General features: G+C 43.7%; 1 protein-coding gene across 27 annotated transcripts in view, besides 6 other annotated features; it reads right to left on the bottom strand.

Moving 5' to 3' along the window:
• AUTS2 (activator of transcription and developmental regulator AUTS2) overlaps window positions 1-25,561 on the bottom strand; it is a 1,195,032-nt gene that overhangs the window by 61,151 nt on the left and 1,108,320 nt on the right. The window lies entirely within an intron of this gene.
• Window positions 2,940-3,459: an enhancer, noted in NCBI's record as "OCT4-NANOG-H3K27ac-H3K4me1 hESC enhancer chr7:70193883-70194402 (GRCh37/hg19 assembly coordinates)". NCBI's record gives its function as "activates a minimal SCP1, AML or CMV promoter by ChIP-STARR-seq in naive and primed H9 embryonic stem cells {active_cell/tissue: H9 hESC(naive and primed)}" and the evidence as "EXISTENCE:reporter gene assay evidence [ECO:0000049][PMID:30033119]".
• Window positions 3,460-3,980: an enhancer, noted in NCBI's record as "OCT4-NANOG-H3K27ac-H3K4me1 hESC enhancer chr7:70193362-70193882 (GRCh37/hg19 assembly coordinates)". NCBI's record gives its function as "activates a minimal SCP1, AML or CMV promoter by ChIP-STARR-seq in naive and primed H9 embryonic stem cells {active_cell/tissue: H9 hESC(naive and primed)}" and the evidence as "EXISTENCE:reporter gene assay evidence [ECO:0000049][PMID:30033119]".
• Window positions 5,379-5,428: a silencer, noted in NCBI's record as "silent region_18232". NCBI's record gives its function as "represses an Ori minimal core promoter by ATAC-STARR-seq in GM12878 lymphoblastoid cells {active_cell/tissue: GM12878}" and the evidence as "EXISTENCE:reporter gene assay evidence [ECO:0000049][PMID:35858748]".
• Window positions 6,750-7,441: an enhancer, noted in NCBI's record as "NANOG-H3K4me1 hESC enhancer chr7:70189901-70190592 (GRCh37/hg19 assembly coordinates)". NCBI's record gives its function as "activates a minimal SCP1, AML or CMV promoter by ChIP-STARR-seq in naive and primed H9 embryonic stem cells {active_cell/tissue: H9 hESC(naive and primed)}" and the evidence as "EXISTENCE:reporter gene assay evidence [ECO:0000049][PMID:30033119]".
• Window positions 15,806-15,965: an enhancer, noted in NCBI's record as "active region_26111". NCBI's record gives its function as "activates an Ori minimal core promoter by ATAC-STARR-seq in GM12878 lymphoblastoid cells {active_cell/tissue: GM12878}" and the evidence as "EXISTENCE:reporter gene assay evidence [ECO:0000049][PMID:35858748]".
• Window positions 20,810-21,332: an enhancer, noted in NCBI's record as "H3K4me1 hESC enhancer chr7:70176010-70176532 (GRCh37/hg19 assembly coordinates)". NCBI's record gives its function as "activates a minimal SCP1, AML or CMV promoter by ChIP-STARR-seq in naive H9 embryonic stem cells {active_cell/tissue: H9 hESC(naive)}" and the evidence as "EXISTENCE:reporter gene assay evidence [ECO:0000049][PMID:30033119]".

The raw sequence follows: 25,561 nt of genomic DNA, 5'->3' as shown, positions 1-25,561 counted from the left end.
CAGGACATGGAAGCCTCTTCTCCATGTGAGGAATCCTAAAGGGCAGATGGGTCAGATGAGACCTGCTAGAAATTCTGATGCACGAACCAATCTAAGTATTAGTTACTATGCTAACCTAAGCACTATTCTAAGTATTTGCTATGAGGAAAAATAAATATATTTAATAATAAAGAAACAAGAAAACACTTTGAAAGCTGTAATGCATAATACACTTTAGTATGATTATTAATCACATGTTTAGGAAATACCCTTATAGACATTAATTTTTTCACTCAGATGCAACACCCGACACTAGACAAGATCCTATACTGGAGGGGAAAAGTAATGCCGTAAAGGACATTTTGTCACCTGGAATCTGAAGAGCTGATTAGATAAAGGCATCACATCAGTGAAAAATTTATTGCAATTGGTAGCTGTACTGTGGTTATGAAAGACATTACCCTTATTCCTCGGAAATACTCAGTGAATTACTTAGACATAAAAGGTTATGATATATATCTTACCTTCAAGTGGTTCAGAAAAAAATTGTCTATTTGTGCGGGGGGGATGGCGGAGGGGAAGGGGAGGAAGAAACGGAAATAGAAACCAAATGGAGCAACAAATTAAGAGTTAGATCTGGGTAAAGGAGACTGGGCGCGGTGGCTCATGCCTGTAATCCCAGCACTCTGGGAGGCCGAGGTGGGTGGATCACAAGGTCAGGAGATCGAGACCATCCTGGCTAACATGGTGAAACCCCGTCTCTACTAAAAATATAAAAAATTAGCCGGGCATGGTGGCGGGCACCTGTAGTACCAGCTACTCAGGAGGCTGAGGCAGGAGAATGGCATGAACCCGGGAGGCAGAGCTTGCAGTGAGCCGAGATTGCACCACTGCACTCCAGCCTGGGCAACAGAGCGAGACTCTGTCTCAAAAAAAAAAAAAAAAAAAAAAAAAAAGATCTGGGTAAAGGGGATATATGAGCTTTGTGCTATTCTTATTCTTGCAACCTTCCTATAAGTTTAAAATTATTCCCAAATAAAAAGTAAAAAAAAAAAAATAGTATCTTCTTGACCGTCATTTGGAATGAATACTCACTAAAAGGTGAAATAAAATGAGTGATCAGTCTTTAGTTTTATTTTAAAAAGAAGTCCTTCAAAAGACACTATCAAGAAAGTGAAAAGAAAACTCACAAAATGGGAGAAAATATTTGCACATCATTTTAAGAGTAAAGGTCGAGGATCCAGAATGTATAAAGAACTATTACAACTCAACAATAAAAAAACAAATAGCCCACTTAACAGTGGGCAAATGGGTGGGGTAGACATTTCTCCAAAGAAGATATACAAATGGCCATAAGCACATGAAAAGATGCTCAACATCATTAGTCATTCAGGGAATTGCAAATCCAACCCACAATCAAATATTACTTCACACCGACTATAAACAGAAACACAGACAATAGCAAGTGCTGACAAGTATATGGAGAAACTGGAACCCTCATACACTGTTGGTGGGAATGAAAAACTGAGCAGTCACTTTGGAGAACCGTCTGGCAGTTCCTCAAAAGGCTAACCATAGAGCTAATACATGACCCAGCACTTCCACTCTTAGGTACATACCTGAAATGAAAACTTACATCCACACAAAAACCTGTGCATGAATGTTCACGGCAGCATTATTCAAAGTAGCCAAAAAAATAGAAGCAACTTGAATGTCCGTCAACTGATGAATCAATAAACAAAACGTGGCATATCCATACAATGGAATATTATTTGGCAATTAAAAATGAAATGCTGATATATTCCACAACATGAACTTTGAAAACATTATGCTAAGTGAAAGAAGCCAGACACGAAAGATCACATGTTGTATGACACCATGTATATGAAGTGCCCAGGAACGGGCAAAGCCAGAGACAGAAAGCAGATTAGTGGCTGCCTGGGCTGAGGGATTGGGAGGATGAGGGGTACAGAAGCTAAGGGTACAGAGTTTCCTTTGGGGGAATGAAAATGTCCTAAAATTAATTGTAGTGATAGCTGCATAACTCTTGGAACATACTAAAAGTCAATGAAATGTACCCCTTAAAAGAGTGAATTTCATGGTCTGTGAAGTCTAACTAAAAAACCAACAAACAAACAAACAAAAAACAAAAAAAAAAACTGGTTGTCCTTTTACTGCTTAATAATGGGCAAACAGGCTGGGTGCAGTGGCTCACACCTGTAATCCCAGCACTTTGGGAGGCCGAGGTAGGCGGATCATGAGGTCAGGAGTTTGAGACCAGCCTAGCCAACAGAGTGAAACTCCATCTCTACTAAATATACAAAAAATTAGCCGGGCGTGGTGGCGTGTGCCTGTAATCCCAGCTACGCAGTAGGCTGAGGCAAGAGAATCACTTCAACCCGGGAGGCGGAGGTTGCAGTGAGCCGAGATTGCGCCATTGCACTCCAGCCTGGGTGATGGGGCCAGAGTCCGTCTCTAAATACATACATACATACATACATACATACATACATACATACATACAATGGGCAAACAGTGTCATGATCTTCAGCAAGAGGAAATTAGAAGTTCATGACATTGTGCTTATACAGTTCATTCAATTACAACAACTTCTCAACCTCTTATCCTAACATCTGAAAGAGGAGGGCACTTGAGGCCTGGCTTCCTCACATTTCTGAAGTCTTCAGGTTTCAGGAAGAGAATAATTTCCGCAGCTTTATTACCTACAGTACAGAAACAATTACTGGTCATTTCAACAACGCCTGACTGACTGCCAAATTTCAACACCTGAAACTAGGAGTTTACTGAAGAGTAAGACCTGGGTCCTACCCTGAAGGATCTCACCACTTACTGGCAAGATTGGTTAAAACAGAAAACGAGGGTTGAATGTGAAGTTCTCTAATGGAACATGGAAGCCCCCCTGGGGATTCCAGGTAGGGACACGTTCCTGGAAAGAAAACAGAACAGAAACTGGGCATCATGAAGTGTGGGAAGGAGGAGACCCCTGGGGAAGTAACAGGGCATCTGGTACAGGCCAGGCTATTACCAGTCTTTGGGGCTGCCGGGCTCCTGACCAGGAAGGAACTGGGAAGTGGAGAGAGGCAGAGGAGTAGTGGGGAACAGCACTGGGGTCCGCACTGGCCCAGCCATGGTACCTTTAACCATCGGCACGGGAGCTCCAAGCCCCACCCCCGGCACAGGTCTCCAAAGGCTCTGGAAAGCACCAGGAGAAAAAGAGTGATGGAGGGTGTGGCCGTCGTTTTCGCCCCATTTTGTAAATGGCTGTTCTCAAGAGCAGAGCAGCTCTAGCTTTCACAAAGAACAGAAAGTGGCTCCTCCCAGGCTGCTAATCCTGCCCGGAGGTGGTGCCTGGGTTTCCCTTTCATGTGGCCCCTTGGGAGAGAGCGCTGTTCACTGAGTAACTGGGAGGAGAGGAGACATTTCTTCTAATCAGGGAGCATTGTTAAGGAAACGATCTGTGGAGGAAGAAAGTTAATGGATCAGTTAAGAATGCAGGCTGCCTTGGCACTCTTACTCAGGCCACACACACAAAAATACAAGATGTGAATTTCTCTCTCACTGGTAGAATCACCAATTGGGAAAATGGTCAAAGGCACAACTTGCACGGTGCTGCCTCCAGATGAACTTTTTTTTTTTTTTTTTTTTTTTGAGACAGAGTCTCGCTCTGTCTCCCAGGCTGGAGTGCAGTGGCACAATCATGGCTCACTGCAACCTCCGCCTCCCAGGTTCAAGTGATTTTCCCGCCTTAGCCTCCCAAGTAGCTGGGACTACAGGCGCCCGCCACCATGCCCAGCTGATTTTTATATTTTAGTAGAGACAGGGTTTCGTCATGTTGGCCAGGTTGGTCTCGAACTCCTGATCTCAGGTGACCCACCCGTGTCGGCCTCCCAAAATGCTGAGATTACAGGCATGAGCCACCACCATGCCCGGCCTCCAGATGGACTTTGAAATTGCTTGGAGGAACTCAACCTGGTAAGGGTCTTTCTGACCTAGTTTTCCAACCAGATAATGCTGCACTACAAAAACCATGATAATCCTGCACTTTAAGGATAAGTTTAGGATTCTCTTCTAACTTTGGCTGGCATAAAGCATTTAAAAAGAATTATATGCTTTAAGAAAATCTCAGAGTAATAGCAATTAAGATCCACAGATCAGGACAGCATCACAAAGCAAACAATTTTTTTATTTGTTTCTATAAGCGATGTGCTTCAGGACATACTACCCTAAAACACGGCCTGTTGGGATCTGAGAAAACAGCAGTAGCAGCAGGTCACTCTCACCTTCCCACCCTTCTTTCCCCAAAGCAGGTCATAAAATTTAGAAAGGATTTTCTAACCTTCCCCTGAAATACACCATAAAACCATCATTTGAGAGGTGCCCTCCCTATTCCCAGAGGAGGGGAACATAGAAGAATCTGAACAATCAGGTCCTGCTAAGTTTCCTCCACTGTATTACCTGCAGATCCTGGCCTTTGTCCAATCACACTTATCCACAAATGGAAGCCTTCCTTCATTTCCACATTGTCACTAACACAGAAGACTTCTGCCCAGGAGTAGGATTTTAACTTGTTAGGTCAGGTCTGAAATTTACTGCCAGCCTGTCTTATAAAACCAAGACATAGATCCTGGGATACATTAGATGATTAAGAAAGTCTTTTTATCTTAAGACAAATTTTTAACCTCTGAAACGTAAGTTTTAAAAACAGCCTGGCCTGGCACAGTGGTTCATGCCTGTAATCCCAGCACTTTGGGAGGCTGAGGCAGGCAGATCGCCTGAGATCAGGAGTTCGAGACCAGCCTGGCCAACATGTTGAAACCCCATCTCTACTAAGTACAAAAATTAGCCGGGTGTGGTGATGCATGCCTGTAATCCCAGCTACTTGAGAGGCTGTGGCAGGAGAATCACTTGAACCCAGGAGGTAGAGGTTGCAGTGAACCAAGACTGCACCATTGCACTCCAGCCTGGGCAACAAGAGCGAAACTCCATCTCAAAACAAACAAAAAAAACCCAGCCCTGTGGCAAACAGGCATTTGGGGCTCTAACAAACACGGCTGTGGTCCCTTTTGCTTGCTATGACAGAAATCTGAAAACACACTTGTGTACAATTACCGTTGCTTTGGTAGGAATGTGCAGGTTCCCACACGCTGGCCTGGAGGGAATTGTTTAACCTGATCACAATCGGAAAGCTACCTTTGAATTCCCACGAGGTGGGGTGGAAATAACCTTCCTCCCCTTAGACACTGCAGAGGTTCTGAAAGTTACATTACCGATGTTAATACCCAGCCTTCACTAATTCTACACATTCATCAGTGCTAACTGACGAGGAGGGTGAGGACAGAAAGCTGGCACGGAGAAGTGAAAACACAAGCCTACCTACCTACTCTTCACTAGCGTCTGCCTTTAGAATTTACCTGATCAAAGACTCTAAAAGCTGAGAGGAAAGAGAATGAGGAAGGGGGATGGGATTGGCTTTTAGATGCTTTAAAATAAGATAATCCCGTGTGTTATCCTTTACACCTGCCTCTCAAAAGAACAAAAGCGCCAGATCCACTCTCAATACAGGTCACTAGGGTTCCAGAAGATGCTATTGTGTTTAAGCCTCTCTGACTTGACAATATGATCCTCTAAACTGGAGCATTAAAGGGTCTTGGGGCTCTCCAACAGCAATAAGCTGGACAGGGTCTTGGGATTTCTTAATGCTTAAGATGTTATCTTCTCTTCTCAAAAATTCTGGGATACAGAATTATAGAAGGTTCCACTTGTACTGTGGTATTTTTACTCATTGTTGAGTTTGCATTTTGGTCTCTGTTTATTTTCCTCCTACTGTTAGTATTTTAAGCCACAGAACTTTAAGAGGGCCAACATCAGATGCCATTTTGATAGGAAATGTTGACATTTATATCACATATACGACAATAGGATGTCTGTAAGTTGTTTAGTATATTTCCATACAGCAATTCATTAGTTCAAATATGTGGTGGAAATGAGTCAATGAGGTAATTTTTTTTTTTTAAGAAATGCCATTTCTCATTCAAATATATGTATGGTATGACAGCAAAATATTCCTTGGGAGATTTCCTTTATGAGTAAATAAAGATTTCTAATAAACACATCCATTGTCTCTATATAAAAACTTCTAATGTGTTGAGAGGTAGCATTTCAGGTGTCAAATATCTTCTATCATCTTTCTATTCTCTTCTTAAAACATGAAAAAAAAGAAAATTCCAGATTCACATCCTAAAACTTAACATAGTAAATCCTGACCCCTAATAAAATACAAACTGGCTCTAGCCCTCTAGCCTTCCCTTCTCCCAGGTCCTTTTTTTTTTTTTTTGAAATGGAGTCTCACTCTGTCCCCCAGGCTGGAGTGCAGTGGCACGATCTCTGCTCACTGCAACCTCAATGTCCCAGGTTCAAGCAATTCCCCTGCCTCAGCCTCCCGAGTAGCTGGGACTACAGGCGCCCACCACCCACGCTGGTCTCAAACTCCTGACCTCAGGTGATCCACCTCCCAGGTCCTTTATATAAAGGGGAGGACAATTAAGGACAGCACTGTCTATTTTTATTACATTTGGCCATTTATCTCTACTAGGGGCAATGAAACCACTTCAGGGCTTTCAAATTCTCTACCTGTAGGAACTGACCCAAAACAAATAGAAGGACCTTAACCTTAACTCTTGGCTGAACTCAACATTCTTCAATCAGATACATCAATCCCTGCAGGCAAATGTGCTAACGGCAGAGCCAAACCAGATTTTGGACTCTCAGGGAATGCCACTGCTTTCCCATTTGTCATGTAAGTTTGTTAAATGGAAAATCCTTAGGCAGTTGCAAAAATGAAAGTACATTTGGTGTTGACAGTCACGACAGAACATGGGGACTAGAGTTGCTCCCAAATTTCATTCATTCTTACAACATAATTCTCCTCAACAGTTGCCCTTATTAAAAAGGATTAACGGCTGGCCACTGTAATTTCCATTCTACCCAAGGCATCCTTTTAAAATGGGCTGTTGATAGTCGCTGCCAATGAATGCTCCAAGTTGATGACATTTCAAACAGGCTTTCAGGGTGCTGACAATGGACCTTCCCTTATGTTCAGCCAGGGCACTCACTTCCGACATTTACCCGAGAGGAAAAGGGTAAACCACTTTCAAAGTCCAATTTAATTTGTCTAAGTCTTAAACGGAAGGTCATTTTTCTGTCTTACTAAAAGGCCCAACCTCCTTGCTCTCTTTCTCAAAAGATCTGTAAATCATTGTTTAAGCAGACAAATTATAAAATGTGATATCATATCCTACATAAATGTACCATAGTTCTTCATTTCTAAGACACAGGTTCTCCCTCTCCCACCCCTGCACAAGCATGTGCTAACGTTTCTGAAATCCAGATATCCTACAATCAACATAGCAGTTTTTAACGTCCTAGTGTTTCTCAAACTCACTCCCTCCCCAAAAAACCAGTATTAAGTCAATGGTACACCTTGTAATGGAGACAGTAAATTGTTTAATGTATGGAATTATTGAAAAGATCCCTCTAGATTAAGTACTACTAATCTAGTTTTAGCAGTATGCTACCACCTTAGCACCTTACACATAAAGAATGTCAGGATGAGGCCGGGCGCGGTGGCTCACGCCTGTAATCCCAGCACTTTGGGAGGCCGAGGCAAGCGGACCACGAGGTCAGGAGATCGAGACCATCCTGACTAACACGGTAAAACCCTGTCTGTACTAAAAAATAAAAAAATTAGCCGGGCGTGGTGGTAGACGCCTGTAGTCACAGCTACTCGGGAGGCTGAGGCAGGAGAATGGTGTGAACCGAGGAGGTGGAGCTTGCAGTGAGCCAAGATCACGCCAATGCACTCCAGCCTGGGCGACAAAGCGAGACTCTGTCTCAAAAAAAAAAAAAAAAAAAAGTCAGGATGAAAATAAAATCATTCTTCCAAAAATAAACTGATGTTTTAATTCTCACTATGCCTTGATTTTTGATAAGCTTACTATAAAACAGAGAATCTAGTTATAATATTAGTTTTGTACACCTGCAGGGTTATAAATCAAATATGGAATCAAATTGCTGATAAGCACATATGAAAGTAACTGAAAACACCTAAAGGTATATATGTGCCTGCAAAATCACAGCCACATCTTCATTTATAAAAGAAGTCCTCAGCCAAATGGGGTGGCTCACGCCTGTAATCCCAACACTTTGAGAGGCCGAGGCAGGCGGATCACCTGAGGCTAGGAGTTTGAGACCAGCCTTGCCAACATGGTAAAACCCCATCTCTACTAAAAACACAAAAATTAGCCAGGTGTGGTGGCAGGTGCCCATAATCCCAGCTACTCGGGAGGCTGAGGCAGGAGAACTGCTTGAACCGGGAGGTGGAGCTTGCAGTGAGTGGTGATCGCACCACTGCACTCCAGCCTGGGTGACAGACCCAGACTCTGTCTCAAAAACCCTTCTCAAATTCTCAAAAAGTCTACATGTATACTTGCAAAGGTCTATAAACAAAACGTTAGTTTCAGGAATACTTGATCTTTATTTCAGAATTTTATTTTCTAGGTAATGACTCCTAACAAATCAGCTTTACATGTGGGCCAATGACCTGTTAAACTAAAACCCAAATACACAAGTTTGTTTTATTGAAAATACATAAATAAGAGCAGAGCTACGCGAGTATTTTTCTCTACAACTCAGAAAGGTAAATTAAAACAGTTTCTCTGGGGAAAAAAATAGAGCCTTTTACTTCCTTCAAATGCCTCCAAGCACTATGCACTTGACAATCTGTACAGCGGGCGCTTCCTGCTGTCTGTCTGACTCAAAAAGAAGAGCTCCTTTAACAGAGTGGCTAAGAGTGCAGGCTCTAGGGGCTTTCTGCCAAATCCAGGTGTGCCATTTGCCAGCCCACTGGTCCTGGGGCAGTTTGGCCTCTCTGAGCTTCCAAGTGCCCTTGGAGGTCTATGATGAGGTCCGAAAAACCTCCCATCTTCAAGGTCTTGGGTTGAGAGGGTGAATGTGGTGTCTCCCAGAACAACCATGAAACTTAGAATCCAAAGGTGTTCTAAACCAAAGCAATTGCAAGGGGTTGTATAGAGGAAAACAAACAAACAAACAAAACCGAAAAAGTTATTTTCAGCGTTCATCCTGGAGGAACATGTGTGTAAACTAAGAAGCTTTCAGTCAGGAGTTCCAAAAGGAAAATCTCCTGATTAACATGATTAGGGAAGAGAGCATTATAAAACACCACCCATTGCAGGTGACTCAAGAAGCTCACGTTCTCTACTCCTATCCCCGACTCGTCACTTTCCACATCCTTCTTCTAATTCTGACACTTAACCAAATTACTGGTTTTAATCAACATTCAGGTTTATCTGGGAACAAATTAAATTTAAATAATAAACTGCAGTGAAGTTAGTTTGTAAAAGCTGAAGTAACATGACAAAGGATGAACAGGCCCACTGGGTCTTCAAAAGTAAAAATAAGACAATATTTAAGGGCCTGTCTGACACTGCGAGGCTCCCTAAAATACTCAACAGTTTGAATCTGAAATACATGAACACAATACAGATCTTTACGGAATTTGAAAGGGACAGGATTTTCTAACATTTATTAGAGGGATTCACGTAAAAATTCTTAAGAATCATTGTGAAGAAGAATGTTTTAGCAGACACCATAATGACTTAATGGAGACTCCCAACTTAAGGGGTGCTGAGCCCCACTTCCCTTATTGATTAACCTGTCAGCTTGCTAGTCAAATCTAATTAGTTAAATCCTTTCTTAATGAAAACATTATGCCTTAAGCAGTTCGCCAGTTCCAGGGTTGTTGGCAACAAACTAATCTCTACAAGAAAAGAGGGGAAGAGAAAAATCCTTAAATTCCAATGGAATCCAGAGCTCTAAAAGCTCATTTGGCTATACAGCTATAATTATTTATAGCATATAAAATGCTGAACTAAATATTCCCCATCTCCCTCTATATTTTCCACGTGTCCCTCTTCCCAAAGCAGCTACATCTAAGTACCCCCACAAAAAATCTAAGCAAACTGGACTCATAAAGCAGTGTGAACACAGACTGAAAATGGAATTTTTTTTTAATTAAAAAATAATTGGGTAACAAACCCCACCATGAGGAAATTCACAAAGTAGGACTTCCTAAAAGACAACCAGCCTGGGCTCTTTAAACTGCTGATGTCATTTAAAGATTTTAAAAGGGGTTGGGGCCGGGACTGGGGGCTATATTTAATTTCAAGAGGTCAAAGAGACGTATCAACCAAAAAGGTGTGGTCTTCATTGAATCCTGGATTCAAAAATGAAAGAAAAAAAAAAGCTCACTATTTTGTAAAAAAGCACACTTTGGAAACAAGCAAGGAAAGTTCAATATGAATTATATCCTAGATAACATTACAGAATCACAGCTAACTTTCGGAGGTATGATAATGGTATGAGATTATGCAGAAAGTGCAGCAGATGAATACTGAAGCATCATGATACTTTTAACATTGAAATGACTTATCTAAAAAAAAGAGAGCTAAAGCAAATGTAGAAAAATGTTAAGAACAGTGGATCTAGGTGAAGGGTATATGGGTGTTTGTCATACTGTTCTTTCAACATTTCTACAGGTTTGCAATTTTGCAACATAAAAAGAAAGTGAGCTACGGTCCAATAGACTCAGGGTCAATATCTGACTAGCCCAGTAGCAGGTCATGAACTGCTACAAGCAAAGCTATGTACAACATCTCAGTGTCCACTGTCTCTCAGACAATGTCAGGTAGGCACTCAAATACCTGATCACTGGATAAATTGACAAAAGAAGGTGGGTGGATCACCTGAGGTCAGGAGTTTGAGACCAGCCTGGCCAACATGGTGAAAACCGGTCTCTACTAAAAGTACAAAAAATCAGCCGGGCATTGTGGCAGGTGCCTGTAATCCCAGCTACTCGGGAGGCTGAGGCAGGAGAACAGCTTGAACCCAGGAGGCAAAGGTTGCAGTGAGCTGAGATCATGCCATTGCACTCCAGCCTGGGCAACAAGAGTGAGACTCCATCGGAAACACACACACACACACACACACACACACACACACGAATGAAATTCTGGCTGTCACACACGTCAGTCGTGTGGCCTCTGGCATGTCATCTCCTTGAACCTCTATACAGCAGTAACAATACCAGCCTTGCAGGTCCTGGGCCCACTAGAGAGAACGTATATCAGGAGCCCAGTAGAGCAGAAGACATATATTTGGGGCTCAGCAAATGGTGCTATTATTATTATTATTATTAAAAAACTCAATGTTTTAGAAATTCCCAAGATTGAAGAAAAGCAAATGTTTTCATTTTTGCCTGAAATCATCCAGATTTATAGATGCGATGAGATGCCAGAGGTCTGTTTCCCTTGTGTTTGTATGTTACCTGAAATACACACCCCTTTGCTTATCTCTCGTGTTTAAGACCTTTTCACTTTACAGTTCACAATCTGCTTCTTCACATCATCATCTGATATGGGATACCCTTTCTACCCAGAGAAATCTGAGCTTGAACTCATTTTCCTAGCTCTTCAAAACAAGCTTCTCTTAACAAAGCAGAACAATGTGCTGTGTTGCCTAAAGGTGCTGAGTTTGGAACCACTTTAAAAGGAATTCCTCAGCTACTAAAGTCCTGTAATTCTGAAGATGGTTAACAAACTTGGCCTGGTGACAAAGAAAGAGAGAAGGGACCCCTGGTGGAAGAAGTCTGGTGGCCAGGATGAGAACAGGACCTTTTTAGAGGGAACCAGAGCTGAAAGAAAGGGGTGTGTGTGTGTGTTAAAACATATGTACAATAAAAAGATCCCTACCAACTACTTTCCTCTCCATAACACTTTGTAGGAACATGAAGAGAAGATGCTCTGTGCCCGTGGGGAAGAATGCTGAAAAGCTCTCAAGCAGCTCTCTTCTGGGTAATAGCCACCTTCTTCCCCCGCTGCATAATCCCTACAGATTGACGCCTGCGATTTGGAGACGAGTGTGGATAACTTTATGCTCATACCCTAACAGTATTCCCCGAGGCAGCGGGTGTACTTACCACTTCCTTAAACTCTTGAGGCTTGTGAATATTAGAGCAAACAAAATAAGTTCAGCTTTCAGTAAATCTTCCTGTCACCCTGGTGGCATTAAAAAAAAAAATACAAGAAAACAACAACAAAAAGACTTCGTGTTGATCTTCGGATCTGCCTAAATAATAAACTCCGTGGAGTAACGATTCAGATTTTGGCAGGAAAGGCTTTTTAAAGTAGGGGAAGAAGAACAGCAACAGCAAGGGAAAGAAAAGAGATACGAATGAGACGTCAGGCTAGAGATCTGTGAGAGGCCTAAGTTCTCAAAAGAGATGCTTGTACTTGTGTAAAATTCCCATTCCTAGGAAGACCAAGAAATTCATGGCTTAATATCTGGTCACTAAGTTAACTCCAGTTCTTAAGTAACATCATCCTAAATTACCTTCGGGAATGAGAAACCTGTGAGATGAGAAAAATCAGCAGAAACAAATAACCAGAATTTCACTGTGTGGGGTGTAACCAGCTTAGAGTCTAGACTTTTCCATTTCTTTGTTTTAAAAATGTGTGTCTTGGCCGGGTGCGGTGGTTCACGCCTGTAATCGCAGCACTTTGGGAGGCTGAGGCGGGTGGATCACAAGGTCAGGAGTTCACGACCAGCTTGGCCAATATGGTGAAACCCGGTCTCTACTAAAAATACATAAATTAGCTGGGCATGGTGGCAGGAGCCTGTAATCCCACCTACTCGGGAGGCTGAGGCAGGAGAATCGTTTGAATCAGGGCAGCAGAGGTTGCAGTGAGTGGAGACAGAGCCACTGCACTCCAGCCTGAGCGACAGAGTGAGACTCCATTTCGGGGGTGGGTGGGGTGGGGAGTGTGTTTTAGAGAATATTAGTGATAGGGGAAGCCCTGCTTGTTCCGAGCCGGCTCCACATACTATTTGAGAGAAGAATTAAGTACTTCACTCCTGTTATTGAGCCCTTGACAACCAGGCAACCCTAAACGCTTACTTTGGAAGGCGATACTCTTGTTTACAGTGTACACTCCTTTTAATTGAGCAGACATTTAGAAATCTCTGCTAACAGCTCAGGGGAGATATGGATGTTGACCTTGGGGGCTGATGTAGCATGGGGTGAGTGTGGAGGACGTAACTAGGTGTGTAACCTTGAGCAACTTGTTCAGCCTTAGTTTCCTCACAGTCAAAACAGTGTTAATACCATCTACCTCAAAAGGGCACTGTGAGGGTTCCATGGGTTAATTGAAGTGATCAGAACAAAGCTCATCTCATAGTAAGTACTCAATAAATGGCAGTATCATCACGAGTGGATTGAACCACTCTGACAAACTGAAAAACCTTGGATGATCACTTGGGTGATTATATGCCCTGGTTTACATGGACAGTCCAGGGTGAGGCCTGTTGTCCCAGGATAATGATGAAGAAACAGTCGATTTCACTCTCAAAAGTGTCCAGGCCTGGACAGTAAGTTATATAGTCACCTTAATTATCACCAAAAAGATATACCAATGCAAGGTATTTTATACAAAGGGGGAATGAAAAAAAGATATCAAAAAAGGTTTCTTTGTTTGAAGTATATGAAGAAGCAGCAGGGCTAGATCTGTTGTTTGCATTTCTGTGTTATTGGGTTTTTTTGTTTGTTTGTTTGTTTGTTTTTGAGACGGAGTCTTACCCTGTCGCCCAGGCTGGAGTGCAGTGGTGCAATCTCAGTTGACTGCAACCACGGCTTCCCAGGTTCAAGTGATTCTTGTGCCTCAGCCACCTAAGTAGCTGGGATCAAAGGTGTGCGCCACCACACCTGGCTAATATTTTGTATTTTTGTAGAGACGGTGTTTTGCCATGTTGGCCAGGCTAGTCTCCAACTCCTGACCTCAAGTGATCCGCCCGCCCCAGGCTCCAAAGTGCTGGGATTACAGGCATGAGCCACTGCACCCATCCTCTGTGTTATTGTTTTTAAAGCTAAGGATACTCTTAAGAGACTGGGAGAAATAAAAAGCCAGGAGAAAAGGGAAGAGTTGACTGAGGGGCCATGTCTGAAAAGGTGAACTGGGATGGAGGCCGGCCGGGGAAGGAGGCAGAAAGCAGCAGCACCCTCTTGAGCAAGAGGAAGAGGCCTTCTGAGTTGAGGAGAGGAAAGGAAAGCTCTTCCCCCACAGGTGACTTCATCACTTGCAAAAGGCCCACCTGATGGGGTGGGGGTGGCACAGGGAGCAGACAGACCACGAAACAGCTGTGGTGGGAGTAGGCAGTGAATGAATGGTGGGTGATGAATGCTCTACATGCTTCAAGAGGTAAGCTAAGGTTGCAATGTACAAATGCACACAAGTCATCAGCTCAGTAAATCTACTTTACTCCAGGGCAGGAATGGAAGAAATGACATGGCTGGATGTTCACTGTGGTTGGCAGGTGGCGCTGGGTGTAACAGAGCACTCGGGAAGTGAGTGGTGAGGATGCCTTTAAAATAATTGCATTTCAGGTTCAAAAACCTCTGTGTAGCATTTTTTAAAGAGAAAAAGTGGCTTAACAGTGATACTCTGCCAAAAAAGGCAGCACCGCCCCTGAGGCTGACTGGCACCCAGAGCCAAAGATCAGCAACGGACAAGAAGAGGCTGGCGAGGGCTTGAGGTGCTTCAAAGAGGAAGCTACACAGATAGTGGATAAATAGCAGGGATTTCTTGTACTTTTGCCACCAGAAAACTCATAGTGGGTTGGCCTATCTATCACGCTTTTTAAAGAACAGGCAAAAAAGGATTAACTAGGGACAAGTGCTCTTCCACCCACCCCTCAGGAGATCAATTTCCTCTCCCTGACACATATAAATACACACATCCTCGAAGGGTGAGTTAGAAAGTGCACCAGGAGCTCGATGCTTTGGGAGGCAGGGGTGAGAGGATTAATCGCCTGAGGCCAGGAGTTCCAGACCAGCCTGTGCAACACAGCAAGACCCCATCTCTACAAAAATATTTAAAAAGTTAGCCGGGTATGGTGGTACAGGCCTGTAGTTCCAGCTACTTCGGAGGCTGGGATAGGAGGATCACTTGAGGCCAGGAGTTCCAGACTAGCCTGGGCAACATAGCAAGACGGTGTCTCCATAGAAAATTAAAAAATTAGCCAGGTGTGGTGGCACGCACGTATATATGCACCTATATAGTCTTAGCTACTCGCAAGGCTGGGGCAGGAGGATCACTTGAGCCCAGGAGTTCAAGGCTGCAGTAAGCTATGACCGTGCCACTGCACCACAGTCTGGGTGACAGAGTGAGACCCAGTGTCTAAATAAATAAAAGTGTCAAGGCTTAAACAGTAATAAAAAAAAAAAAAAAAAAAATAACTCCACTGAGATTTCCAGCCATAACTACTATCACTTGAAATGCCTTTACAGTTTTTCCAGTTTGATGTTTATTGATTAGACATATACCCAATTCTATAAATCTCATTTTGTGGGAGGTTACGTCTTAGTATCACATGAAATCTCCCATAAAACGAAGTAACCGAATACATCTAACACACACTGACAGCCTGCCGCCCATGGTGCTATACTGAACCTCTCCTCAAGTTTTCCCAGGCTGGAATTGCATCACCAGGATCTTCCACCCCAGACATACTTCAAACAGGTCAGGCTGGATGAGAAGCTGTGTTGTGAACAAGAGACTTCCCTTTTTTTTTTTTTTTTTTTTTTTTTTTTTGAGACGGAGTCTCGCTCTGTCACCCAGGTTGGAGTGCAGTGGCGCCATCTAGGCTCACTGCAAGCTCTGCCTCCCGGCCGGGTTCACGCCATTCTCCTGCCTCAGCTTCCCGAGTAGCTGGGACTACAGGCGCCTGCCACCACATCCGGCTAATTTTTTGTATATTTAGTAGAGATGGGGTTTCACTGTGTTAGCCAGGATGGTCTCAATCTCCTGACCTCGTGATCCACCCGCCTCAGCCTCCCAAAGTGCTGGGATTACAGGCATGAGCCACTGTGCCCGGCCTTTAACAAGAGACATTTTTAAATTCACCAAACTGAAGCCCCCGATCCTCTTTATGCTGGGCTGGTATAAGAGAAAGGGCAAAGAACAGGAGATGGCAAGAACTCACTGTCACTTACCAGTCACCAGTGTTCTCACAGGTAATAGACGGACCTGGCTAGGCTACTGTATGAATCAAATAAATCAGCAGGTGCCCTGGCACACTGTAGGCACTCAATATACGTGGGCAGCCTCCCACTCCTTTCCTGAAAAGTACCCAGTTGGGATCATCAGATTTTCGATTAATTCCAAATGGGTTGATCAGACCAAACACGATTCAGGTTTTTGCCTACTTTCTTGAATCAAGTCACTTAAGATTCTCAGGATATAACCTAAATTCCAAAGTTTGAAATCACTTTTAGGATATTATATTTTAATTCATTTTAATTCAAAGCACCCTGTGGGTCACCATGGGTAGGATAGGGGTAGAATTCAGAGAAAAGGGGAAGAGGACATCTACAACTTCAATAAAAGACAGGCAGGCAGTGGGCATGGTGGCTCATGCCTGTAAATCCCAGCACTTTGGGAGGACAGGGCAGGTGGATGGCTTGAGGTCAGGGGTTGGAGACCAGCCTGGCTAACATGGTGAAACCTCATCTCTACTAAAAATACAAAAATTAGCTGGGTGTGGTGGCATGCGCCTGTAATCCCAGCTACTTGGGAGGCCAAGGCAGGAGAATCACTAGAGTCCAGGAGGCGAAGGTTGCAGTGAGCTGAGATCATGCCACTGCTACAGGCTGGGTGACAGAGTGAGACACCATCTTAAAAAAAAAGAAAAGAAAAGAAAAGAAAAGAAAAGAAAAGAAAAAAAGACAGGCAGGATGCAGGAAGTGCCACAGGAAAGGTTCAAACCTTGGGAAGGTAGGAGGGCTTCCTGGAGAATGTGGCATTTGAACAGAGCTATGAAGGGCAGGTATGACTAAATTCACACACACTTAAGTGTGTATGACCTCATTTGACGATGTTGTTCTTGCAGTACCTTTCTAATTTTTAGATATTTTGTCCCTCCAATTGATAAACACAAACCATGTAAGAAAAGCTCAATGCACTGAAAGCATAGGTTAGATTTATTGTAAGAAAAATGCAGAGAACTGTTCAGACTTATTAATAAACTCCTGGTAGAGCACCAACTTTTTGCTCTGAAAACATGCAATTAGAAGGAGAGAATTGAGCATTTACTTTTTTCCTTGTATTATATTTGAGTGTAACCAAAGAACTCTAGTTGATGAGGGAAAGTGCCATTGTACTGAAGAATTTCAGCCAATAAATGTGGAATAATGCTAGAAAAGTCACCCTCTGCCATCTCTAATGAATTACTGCATCAGGCAAGCATCATCAATAGATGAGACCATGAGATAAAAGCTTGACGGGGAACATGCCAATGCAAGTATCAGGTTGCCACAACCTAAACTTACTGAATAATTTTGACATCACTAAAACTGGGACACCCAGACACTGTGTGTTCCCAGATGTGAGGCAACATGAGGTTCGTTGCAATGCCTATGAAGTTTTCTTGCCAGGAACTCTAACCTGAATCTAATCAAAGCTTTACGGCCAACTTCCATTTACAGGAAATACGAGGGACAGAGGAACAAGCTAAATGACACCGCAAGGACTTCCAGAATGTGGGGCAGTCTTCAGGACAGCTGACCTGGTTTCTGCAACAAGTCAATGACTTGAAAGAATGGGAAGCTGGGGAGGGTGGAGCACTCTAGATTTAAGACATGCAGTATGTGTGTCTGTTTGTATCCTGATGTGCACAGATCACGTAAAATGACCCCTTGTGGGACAATCATGGAGATGAGATCATGGATGGGTATATTCCTCAGATGACACTGAGGAATTACTGCATATTTAGTTAGTGTGATAACAACATGTGATTTTGTAAGAAATGTTCTTTTTTATAGATGTGCACTAAAGTATGTAGTCGTAAAATGATATGAAGTCTGAGACATGCTTTAAAATATTTCAGCAATAAAGAAAAAAAAGGTGGACATCGCCCTATCCAGCCTATCACCTAAAAATAATTGTGGAAAAGTCTTAATATGAATCTAGGTAATGGGTATATATGGGGGTTCATTTCTACATTTTCTATATTGAATTAGAGTTGAAAATTTTCATTTTGTAAAAAGCTCCCGATTCATGATAAAATTGAATTCACTTTCATGTGTCAATTTCATCTTACATGTAAAGATACATTTCACACCTTTGAGTGGTGTGATATTCCCTGTTGAAAATATTCCCTATTGAAAAAGGCATTTAAATTTAACCCATGTAGATCACACAGTGCTCTTAGGGGACTGGAAACATCAGTATCACCTGGTTACTTGAAATGCAAGTTCTGGAGCCCTAGCCCAGACACGCTGAATCAGAAATCACTGGAGGTGGGGCCCCGCAAGCTGTATCTTTTTTTTTTTTTTGAGACGGAGTCTTGTTCTGTCGCCCAGGCTGGAGTGCAATGGCGCGATCTCCGCTCACTGCAAGCTCTGCCTCCCGGGTTCATGCCATTCTCCTGCCTCAGCCTCCTGAGTAGCTGGGACTACAAGGCTCCCGCCACCACGCCCGGCTAATTTCTTTGTATTTTTAGTAGAAACGGGGTTTCACCATGTTAGCCAGGATGGTCTCAATCTCCTGACCTCGTGATCCGCCTGCCTCGGCCTCCCAAAGTGCTGGGATTACAGGCGTGAGCCACCACGCCCGGCCGGCAAGCTGTATCTTAACAAGTCCTCTAGCTAATTTTGATGCAGGCTAAAGTTTGAGAACCACTACTTTAACACAACTAGTTTTGGAAGATGCCTATTCTTGAAGGACAACTGAAAAAGCTTTACTATTTAGGTAACTTACTTAAACTTCTTAAGAGTTTTACATTTTTTGGGAAAACTCAATTTACATGTTAATTTTATGGCCTTAAAACTCTAATATTCAATACAGAAGAAAAAAAGATTTCAAAACACTTCTGCCCATTGTTCTACAATCCTGGATAAAGCAGTTTAAAACAGAATTAACACAGTACTTTGTTTACAAAATAGTTAGTGGTAATCACGGCACATTTGCCCAGTATGTGTGTGTGTTGTGTGCTGTGATAGCCCTTCACACAGATGGCAGGCCGGCATTGGTGATGCAGCACCTGCCAAGAAGGAACTCGATGGAACAGTTTGTCTTTCAGAAGCGGTTGAGCAAGTTAGCTCAGCTGGTTACAGCATAACATTGGCCCAAGGTCATGGTTTCAAACTCTATTCAGATGAGCAGAGCCCTAGGTACAGGCCTAGCATCTGTCAGAACCACGCTAAACATGAGTAGGCCTGTTCACAAGGCTATAGAGAGTGGAAGGATTGGAAATGGTAGGTGCAGGGGCACTTTGAACAGATCAGGTGAAGTTGATATTTACAAACAAACAAACCAACCCAGGAGGCTGAAGCAGGAGAACTGCCTGAGCCCAGGATATGGAGGCTGCAGTGAGCTGAGATCGTGACACTGCACTCCAGCCTGGCCGACAGATTGAGACTCTGTCCCCTCCAAAAAAAAGGCTGCCCAACTACGAACCTAGACCTATTCCCTGTGCAATAGAGTATGATTTCACCCAGTGACTCTGTGGATCGTCTGAGCATTTACAAAACCTCACTGCCAAAATGTTCTTCCTCGTTTTTTCTGGACCACAGTCGTCTGCATTAGAACTACCTGGAAGGCTTGTGAAAACAGAGTTGTGACTCTACCCCAGAGTTTCCAATTCTGTAGGTTTGGGGTGGGGCAGAGATTCTGCATGGCTAACAACCACTCAGAGGATGCAGATATTGCTGATGGAGACTTTGAGAACCACCGGTCTAGACCCAATTCTGCACTTAATTTCATCTAACCCATTCCTTTTCATGGTGAGTTCCTTATCAGCAGAAACCTTGCCTTTTCCATCCTCTATAAAACTAAGCATTGCGACCGGAAAGCTAATCCCTGACATATCAAGATGTGGAGGACACTGGGCGTGGTGGCTCATGCCTGTAATCCTAGCACTTTGGGAGGCTGAGGTGGGCGGTTCATTTTGAGCTCAGGAGTTCGAGCCCAGCCTGGGCAATGTGGTGAAACCCTGTCTCTGCAAAAAAAAAAAAAAAAAAAAAAAAAAAAAAAAAAGTGAGCCAGGCATGGTGGCTTGTGCCTGTAAGTCCTAGCCTACTTGGGAGGCTGAGGCTGGAGGATAACTTGAGCCAGAAAGTGGAGGTTGCAGCGAGCCGAGATTGCACCACTGCACTCCAGCCTGGGCGACAGAGTGAGACCCTGTCTCAAAAAAAAAAGGAAAGAAAAAGAAGAAAAGATGTGGAGGGAACAGAGTGAAAATGCAAACATCCTTTAAGCATGTTGGGTTGTATTTCTGTAGCCCTCTCTCAGATGAACTCCAAAGAGGTAACAGAGAAGATGTGTGGGGAGTGAGTAAAGGGGCATGGAAAGAGACTGTGTTTTTAGGCTAGTTTTCGCCAGGGTCACCGGTACTTGGGACCCCTCTCCGAAGTCTGGCCCCACCTACTGCCAAACACAGCCTCCTGCGTGGCTCCCGCCCTCCCCCTTCTAGGATGTCAGTTGTTCACCTGTATGGAAATGACAGCCGCTTGTCATGGTCTACATGAGAGGCCTCACTTGCAGCAGTAACTAGCATGCCATTTCCAAAGCTGTCATTCTCTGGTGTCAGCACAACCCACTGTTCAAAGATTTGCTCTGACATGAACCAGGCAGCGCTGTGACTGTTACTGCCGTGGACTCTTCTGTGCTCCGACACTGATGGCAGCTGCTCGGCGCCCAGGGTTTGTTTCACCCAATTATTTGTTTGTCACTTGGAAGCCCAGGATGTCGAGCAGGTATTGTGGAGGTATTTTTGGCCTGATGCACAGGCAGAAAGCATAATGAGGCCCTCAGGTGAAGGTCTATTTTGTCAGTTAGGTGCTAGGATGATGTGCAGCCCCAGAAGCAATTAGGATATTTGAATAAGATAAGATACCTGGCAGGATGCTGAGAGGGCTCGGAAAGTCAGACTTAACTTTTAAAATGCCAAAAAAACCCTCAGAGTAGGCAGTTTTCAAGTTTATCCTGGAGCTAATACAGAAGGTGGAGGTGTAAAGCTGTCTTCCCTCAACCTGGAGGGCCCTGAGAAGGAAAGAAGGCACAAATCAGGCATGAGCCTGACCCGAAGGTGTGCTCTGGGGGGGTGAGGCCCTGGCCACACAGGGGTAACAGGTTGTAACTGGGTCATGTGGTCAAATAACAGTTACTCCTGGGAGGCAAGACCAGCGGGGAAATGGCAAGTCACCCTTTACCAGTTATTCTCAAGCTGCCTCTTTACAACCGGAGTTCCTCTTCCCATGGGGGTAGAAATCAAACTGATTTGATGTCTAACATCTTGGGAAGAGGTCATTATACAGGGCCATGTGGCCTCTACAGCCAACTGCACAAAACAAAACCACAAAGTGTAGTTTATCATCTAATATTCCACCAGAGCACACTGCTCCAAATCCAGGAATTTGTTTTTTAAGCTTCTTGCTGTCTTGTCTGTGACGTTCCTCCTTTCTCCAGTTCTCAATCTCAGAAAGTGAGGAGCACAGTCCAGACAAGTGGAATTTTCCCAAGGAACACATTATGGACTTGGTAACAATCAAATTAGTTCAGCCTCTCCCTCCTTAAATCCATTCATGATTTTGGTGTGTGCCACCTCTAAAACCAACTCTCCCGCAAAGACACAAGAAGACTGCGCATCGAATTACAAACCAACAAACAGCAAATGCAGCACTGAGTGAATGAAGCTGCAATTATTATCACCTTCTAGCAAAAGAAAAGTAGGAAGTCAGATTGCTCCAGTCAAAAAGACCTAGATGAACTTGAAGAACTAGAACTCTGATGAAATGCTTGGTGTGTGAGTCTGTGACAGCTGAAGACAGATGGGAGGGTGGTGACATTCTTTCGATTATCTACAATGGCCCATGCAAGCCTCATTTCAATTCGTGGTGGTAAAATGAGTCATCTCATAGAAAAAGAAGCTGCCTGGCAGTTGCCCCTGGGGTGCTCTTGGGCACTTTCTCTGGTATCTCGCCCCTGCCCCCCACCCTCATCTAACCTGCAGCAATCCCTGCCTAGGAAGTGGTCCAAATGACAGTCATTCCACTTGAGAAGTCAAGTACAAAGGAACCCTAAGTACTTATATATACAGTGGGGTTTTATAAACATTTACTGAGCAGATAAATCATCTCTTTTAACAGCACCCAAGATGCAGGCAAGCAGAGAAGGAGGACTCTGTATTGTTACTCTTATTCTGGAGGTTAATACCGTAATACCTTAACAGCTGGTATTCAAATTGTAGCCACTGTCTTTTCCACTCCTCCCTTGTGCCGGGGCTCAATCCCCTCTTACCTTTAAGATCTTTCTTACACAGATGCAATCTCCTGAAGAGGAGAGAGGCTTATTCCTGTTCACAAGTTCAGGACTGAAGTCCTGGTATCGGCTACGAGGCACTACTGCTTTTGAATGCTAAGTGTTCAGAATCTCTTTCACAGCTAGCAGGGAAAATGTGTGCCCTCAGCAGAAGCGTCAGGTTCTGAGAGGCCCTAAAAGATATATGTAAATATTTTTCCAGACAGAATCTTGCTCTGTTGCCTAGGCTGGAGTGTGGTAGCGCCTATCTCCGCTCACTGCAACCTCCACCTCCTGGGCTCAAGCCATTCTCGTGCCTCAGTCTCCCGAGCACCTGGGATTACAGGCGTGTGCCACCATGCCCACCTCATTTTTGTATTTTTAGTAGAGATGGGGTTTCGCCATGTTGGCCAGGCTGGTCTCCAACTCCTGACCTCAAGTGATCCGCCCGCCTCGGCCTCCCAGAGTGCTGGGATTATAGGCGTGAGCCACTGTGCTGGCTGGCCCTAGAATATTTCTAACACAAACTTTGGTCTTTAGATTCACAAGGAGTCTTGGAGGCCACCCCCCAGTTTCTCATGATACCCATGAGAAAAGCAAGTCAAATGGAGTGATCTGCTCAACTTTACAAATAGTCTTGCTCAGGCTTGGGCATGGGGCTTCCCTCCTGCCACCTCCTTGCGGTGGGCCAACCTGGTAAGAATTTAAACAACAAGGCCGGGTACGGTGGCTCACGCCTGTAATCCCAGTGCTTTGGGAGGCCGAGGTGAGCGGATCACGAGGTCAGGAGTTCAAGACCAGCCTGGCCAACATGGTGAAACCCCATTTCTACTACAAATACAAAAAATTAGCGAGGCGTGGTGGCGGGCACCTGTAATCCCAGCTACTCGGGAGGCTGAGGCAGGAGAATCGCTTGAACCTGGGAGGCAGAGGTTGCAGTGAGCCGAGATGGTGCCACTGCACTCCAGCCTGGGCAATGAGGTGAGACTTGGTCTCAAAAAAAAAAAAAAAAAAGTATTTAAACAATAAAATCTAACTGAAGAAACGTGAAAAAAGTGGACTGTATTGATAGGTGATGTACAGATCTTTATGGCACTGCCAAAAACCTTTGCAATAGCTTAATTAACTCATATAACAATAGCATCAATTTTTAAAATGGAAAACTCAAAGGGGTAGGTTTTAGTCTAACGATGAGCACAAGCTGGCAGATTCTGGGGCTCTCTAAATGCGAGACATAATTCTGCAGTTTGAGGGCTGGTCAATTTTTGGTCTGCTGACCCTTCGGGGCTCACCTCAGATAAGCTTTTCCACCTAAGAAAGTCTTAAGGCTATTTTTTTTTTTTTAATTAGTGAGTTTGCTATTATACCACTTGAAAAACATTTCAAAATACATTTAAACTCTTTTACTCTTCTGGTCAGGTGGGTGTCATCTATTATTCAGTGTTGTTACCTCCAGATCCTGTTCCATGGTTGGGGCTCAATAATATGTGAATGAAAAGAATTCATTTCAATATGGTTTCCACCTTAAGCCAATTGAACGAATCAATGGAATCACCACTGATGTCATTTCTTTAACAGCTGACCAATCTGCTTTCAGAAGACCCCTTGTCAAACTAAACTTTATGGATAAAGAAGCCTTCACAGAAGCCCAAGAGGTCCTGCGGAGGAGCTGGGTTTTCGGGGAGAGGAGCTTTACTATGGAAAAACCTTTCCCAGCTATGAACAGAGAATGAGAAAATGATGTAATCTTGGCTAAAATTAGGTTTTAGTGTTACTCTGCTGAGAGATGTGAAAGGTGATAGATAAGAGGGGGAAAATGTTTTCCAAGTGGCTTTTAAAGGCATCCAAATATAACTGCCTCCCACATCAGTCTATTAACGGGCACACTTGAGACATTTCCCTCTTCAAAAGGACTCTTAGAAAAGCAATGATGTGCTCTCAGCCTCCTCCTTTAGAAGACAAGGTTTACGAGGGTCAGAGACGCAGATCGGAGCCCACAGAACGCCATTCCCTGTTAACAGCACAGATTTGGGCCTTGTGCTTATGTCATCGGTTGCTAGGGAAATGCCCCTGCTTGAAATTCCTAAATCATTTCTAATAAAATCTGGCTGAAAAGTAAAGATCAGTTCACGCAAAGGCACAAGAATGGGCATGGAAGAGCGAGGAAACTGGAGGTGCCTTAAGCTGAGCCCCACTGCGCTGCAGTAACTATGGCGACTCTGGCCACAGGTGATGGGATAATGGTTGACATCCTGGAGAAGTCCTGGATGAGAACCTCCGGGACCTTATGTTTTATGAGAAGATTAAATACTTTGGGAAGGTATGGGAGGAAAAGCCCTAGGGAAGCCCTTGTTGAGGGTTCCTGCCAGTGTCTTCCCATAGAACCCAGTTTCCCCCAATCCGAATTTTTACCATCCCGCTTTGTGTCTCCCTCAGGAAGGACAGAGATCCTCCTCCTTTCTATTCTCTGCCATATCCCCAGAGCCTAGCACAGTATGACTGCTATGAGCATGTCTAGGAGTCAGCTGGACCGAGCTCCACCACTTACTAGGTGCGCGACCTTGGACAAGTTGCCTCATTTCTGAGCCTCAGTTTACTCACTTAAAAAATGAGTGAATTACATATAAAGTGAACAATACCTAGCAAAAAGAAAGTCCTCAATAAATGCTAGCTATTCATATCTAACTTCAGTTTCCCTGCCTATAAAATGCAGATGCTATTTCTAAATTCTTTTCTAAATTAAGAGCTGCTGTGAAGATTAGGGGATAGAATGTATGTAAAATACTTAGCCCACTGTATCATTAGATCAAAATATGGTACAAGGTAGGCTAAGCACTTTCTATCCATTGCCTCGTTTCATCCTCACAGCACCTGTAAGAGATGGGTTTGGTTATTCCCATTTTACAGAAGGAAAAATTGGTTCTAAGGTGTTTTAACTAGCCCAAAGTTCCACAGCTAGTAAGCGTCTTCAAAGCACTGAGATTCAAAGCAGTGTCTGTGAGAATCTTAAATCCAAAGCCCATGTTCAAGGTAACCATGACAACGCATACTACTTTGCAGTAAAGTTTTACAGCAATCATGCTTCCTCAGGTTAATTATGCAGAGTCTAAACATCTGGCCAGTCCAACAATTATTCT

The sequence above is a fragment of the Homo sapiens genome, chromosome 7, assembly GCF_000001405.40.
Source record: "Homo sapiens chromosome 7, GRCh38.p14 Primary Assembly".
Lineage (NCBI taxonomy): Eukaryota > Metazoa > Chordata > Mammalia > Primates > Hominidae > Homo > Homo sapiens.
This window is presented reverse-complemented; position numbering and strand designations above follow the sequence as displayed.